This window comes from Homo sapiens, chromosome 18 (assembly GCF_000001405.40).
Source record: "Homo sapiens chromosome 18, GRCh38.p14 Primary Assembly".
Classification (NCBI taxonomy): Eukaryota; Metazoa; Chordata; class Mammalia; order Primates; family Hominidae; genus Homo; species Homo sapiens.
The window spans coordinates 76,262,498-76,266,783 of NC_000018.10; the positions used below are offsets into that span (position 1 = coordinate 76,262,498).

The 4,286-nt window shown below is 48.2% G+C and overlaps 2 annotated features.

Annotated features, from left to right (window-relative positions):
- Positions 253 to 906: an enhancer, noted in NCBI's record as "H3K4me1 hESC enhancer chr18:73974705-73975358 (GRCh37/hg19 assembly coordinates)". NCBI's record gives its function as "activates a minimal SCP1, AML or CMV promoter by ChIP-STARR-seq in naive H9 embryonic stem cells {active_cell/tissue: H9 hESC(naive)}" and the evidence as "EXISTENCE:reporter gene assay evidence [ECO:0000049][PMID:30033119]".
- Positions 3,513 to 4,012: an enhancer, noted in NCBI's record as "H3K4me1 hESC enhancer chr18:73977965-73978464 (GRCh37/hg19 assembly coordinates)". NCBI's record gives its function as "activates a minimal SCP1, AML or CMV promoter by ChIP-STARR-seq in primed H9 embryonic stem cells {active_cell/tissue: H9 hESC(primed)}" and the evidence as "EXISTENCE:reporter gene assay evidence [ECO:0000049][PMID:30033119]".

The window sequence follows — 4,286 nt, forward strand, 5'->3', positions numbered from 1 at the left end:
GACTTGCTGTCTCTCCACCCCAGGCAGCATCAAGTATGAGGCATTAAGTAATGACACAGGGTTACTACATTGAAAAGATGTCTTGTAAGATGCTGTATACAAACATTGCTGAAGAACAAACAGGAGGCTGGAAACGTGGCGCTGAAGGCTGGAGGCTGAAGGCTCCTCGCAGGGCAGCCCTGGGAGGGCCGATTCTTCCCACTCCCTCTCCTTTCACGATGTTATGAACAACATGCTCTGCTTCTCAGGAAGAGCTGGAGGATGGAAACAATGAGGAAAGGGGCAGAGAGCGTGCCCGGGGAGCGGTCAGACCCCCTGACTAGCTCCAGCCAGGGAGCAGTGGGCCTGACTTCAGGGGAAATGCCCACTCTTCCTCCACAGTTGCGTCTCCAGTGTTCCAGTTTAATTACCTTCTTCATTGCTGCCTTAAATGAAGACTCTAAACACCTTCCCCTTGCATCCGTGCTTATAGACTAAGCCAGCAGTCAAACGGCACCATTTATGTCTCGACTCCTATTCTGTGACTTCTTCTCCCCCTTTTAACCTGAATCTCTAACCTATTTTAAACATGCCATCCCCCACCCCCCCATTAACAGAAGGGATCCTTTTTTCTCTTTCTGTCTTTCCCCCTCAGTAGATGAACTTTAAATGCAATCCTGCGCTCCTCCTGGCTGACCCGCCTGCTGTGAGTAATTGTCTAGAGAGAATAGGAGAATCTAAGAGCTTTTGTGAAAGGGAATAGAGAAGACAGACATTATTATGATTTTGAATCCGGAGCTCTCTTCTTTTCTTTCCTTCCTTTTATTTTTTTTCCTGGATCTAACAGCTGTTTCCCATCACAACTGGTGTTTGAAAGACATTGCAAAAATGACTGTATCCGTATCACAATTAGTTTCACAGGCAGCTAATAACTTACTTGCCATCCATGCCTGATTTAATCGGGACAGCCCTGATTTACGAGTGTTTGTCCCAGTGTCCGACCCTCTCTGCCAGTTCCTCGGGCTGGGTGCCCTTTGGGTTGCTGATGGAGGGAAACGCCCCCTCCAGGGCTGCCTGTCCGCCAAGCAAGGCGAGGATGGGACCCTGGGCTTCTTCCCAGACAGGAGAACCCCAGACCCAGAGACCCAAGAACTGGGTGGGGCAAGGCAGCCTCCCATGGGCCACACCCACCCCTCCTGCCCGCACCCCACTCACCTGCCTCCCTCTCCTCCCCAGCACAGAGCCCTCTCACACTTTAAGGTCAAAGATAGTTCCAAGCTTCACATTCGTTCAGACATAAAAGCCCCAAGCCTTTGGTGGGGAGGCTGCTGTCAATGGTGCCAAATTATGCGTGTCTAGTTTTTGTGATGTGATCTACTGCCGTTCATTAGGGACTGAGCTGGGCCCATCGACTCATTTTTCTTAGGGCAGCGAGCTGGTCTGTAGGGAGTCCCAGTGCTGAGAGGCCAATCCGTCCTTTGCTCACTCAGCAACTTTGCTCTTTGATTTTTTTTTTAATGAAAAATTTTAATGCAGAATAGAGGAATCAGGTCTTGGACATAGAAGTGAATGAATCAGATCTTGCAGGAACCAAGCCCTGGAATATATTAATATATAGTGGGTGCAGTAACAACTTTGAAACATTCAAAAATCTGTCTGACAGGGCATGTCTCCTATCTTAAAGTGTCACTGCTAGGCCTTAATTACACACATAAGAATAAGGTAAGGGGGCGTGTCACACTTCGGAATTTTAGAAATTCACATTGTATGAAACACTGCACCTCCAAAAGGCTGTGCAAACCACACTAACGTGTCAGAACTTCCCTCTTTGGCAAACATACAAAAGACTCGTGCAAAGAGTAACGGAAGTTAAATGCAGCGGGCTAAAAGCAACGCTTTTCTGTTCCTAAGCGACCAGAACTGGGCCAAGGAGATTCAGAAAGCATTTAAACATCCCGGTAATGGATCAGTGAAGGAATGAAGAGGCTTGTCCTCCATTCAGCTGCTCCAGCTGCTTCAGCCCATCTTGGCAACTTCTGGTGGCAGGGAAGTAACAGGCATCAGGGCGGAGGGCAGGGTGGAGGGCAGGGCAGAGGGCAAGGCAGGCATCCTGAGAGGCGGACGTGGTGGATGCACCAGTTGGGCCTTTGAACCTCCATCTCCTGTGCCGTCCCCTCAGGAAGTCCTCTTCCTAAGGCTCTCCGTTCTAGGGAGCAAAGTCCTGTCCCAAGGTTTAGAAAGCAAAGTCTTCAAAACTGCTGCCAGTCAGGCAAGAAGAAAACCAAGGGAGTTTCCCAGAGCGCCCAGGAGGGCAGGAGATCAGATGGACGAGCACGCGTCTTGCAGAATGCTTTTCATCCCAGCACCCTGTCCACAGCATCCCCATGGAGGCCCAGGAGAAACAAAGGTGAGGACAAATATCTGCCCTGTAGTACCTGAAATGGCCATTTCACCCAAAGTCAGGGACGCTGCCTGCTGTTGTACAAAGTAAACACACACACGTTCCTGAAAATAGGGCATCAGGTGGTGACTGCGTAGACAGCGCACTCCAGCCTGCTCAAGAGCCCCTCGTCAGCTCACAACTATCTCACAGGCTCTCAGGCTCGGCCATCACCACGCCTGGGAAGAAAAAGCCTCCGTTCCCGACAGTCATCACAATCTGTTTGCAATTACCAAGAAAAGAAAGGAAAGATCCTAAAGATCCATCCTCACGGTGTTAAATGGAGCCTTTGGTTTTATATCTGTGTTGCTGATGAGCCCATATTTTTGGAGAAGCTGTAACAGGAACTATGGGGGACTTAAGTCCCCTTTTGTTTTGTGTTTTTGTTTATCGGGCATTTTCTTTTGTGAAGAAAGGTCAGAGATGGGGGACAGTATTCCCTTATTTGTTAGGAAGGCACTGAGCAGAAAGAAGTTTTGTAAGAGGTTATTTCAAAAACATTATTTAAAGAGAAAACAAGACTGCCATCCAATGCCAGAGATGGACGTCTGAGATGCTTACCAGCCTCCAGCTTCCATTTGGCATTATTTCTTACATTTTTCTACAAACTTTTTTTCTCCATGTGCAAAACAGGCCAAGTTTGGTTGTTTTGGGGCAGTGCTAGGATTGGACTCTGCACAAGTACTGCAGTCAAAGATGAGAAAATGCAAGAGATCCATCTCACTTGGCATGCTTATATGTTCTTTTAAGCAAAAAAAAAAAAAAAAAAAAAAAAAAAAAAAATTCCTGTTTACCAAATGGAGTGTCAGGAACATTGTGTAAAAGAACACTTATCTGTGAAACTTTGATCTTTCTCTGAAGCACCATTAGCAGAGACTCACAGGATGATTGCTTGGGAGCAGGGGCAGGCAGAGGGGAGGGTGGAGGCAAGGAGTTTTCCAAGGGGGAAATAATGCTTATTGTGCTACCTATGGTCATGTTTAGAACAGAAATCCTGTGAAATCCCAGGAAGCAAGCTGAAGCTGGGCCACTGGCTGGGCAATGCCACCGCCCAGGCCCCCCGCACCCACAGAAACATGGGCCAGGGCCCAGCTTCAGTCAGCCCCTCGCTAAGGCCGTCTCCAGGAAGCACAGTCCAGCAGCTCTCAGGCAGGGCGGAGGGGCAGCCCAGGCTCCAGCCTCCTCCCCGAGAAGCCGGAGAGCACCGCATGATTTGTTACTGAGATCAGGAAATCAGAGGCTTATGAAATTTCCAGTTACTTTCTGTTTCATCTACGTCTGGCAAAAACAAGCAGAAGAAGAAAGAAAAGAAAAAGGAGGGACAGAGAAAAGGAGGAAGGAAGGGAGGGAGAGAGGGAGGGAGGATGCAAAGAAGGAAGAAAGGAAAGAAGGAAGGAAGGAGAAGGAAGGGAGGGAGGAAGGAAGGAAAGGAAGGAAGGAGAAGAAGGGGAGGGAGGAAGGAAGAGGAAGGAGAAGGAAGGGAGGGAGGAAGGAAAGGAAGGAAGGAAGAGGAAGGAGAAGGAAGGGAGGGAGGAAGAAAGGAAAGGAAGGAAGGAGAAGGGAAGGGAAGGGGGAGGGAGGAAACACTCTCATATGATTGGTATTTCCATATCCAGCTTAATTCTTTTTAAGGAAGGGAGGGAGGAAGGGAAGGGAAGGGAACACGCTCATATGATTAGGATTTTCGTGTCCAGCTTAATTCTTTAATTTTTACCTGTAAAGGAACAAACAAAACCTGTATGTAGAAAAGAAATCTTAGTTTTTACTATATATGTTCAAACTGGAAATGTTCAAGGAAGAGCAAGGAAGAATTAGGGAACTGACAAAAGGACTTCACGGGAAAGCCTGGGGCAGGTGCCAACGATGG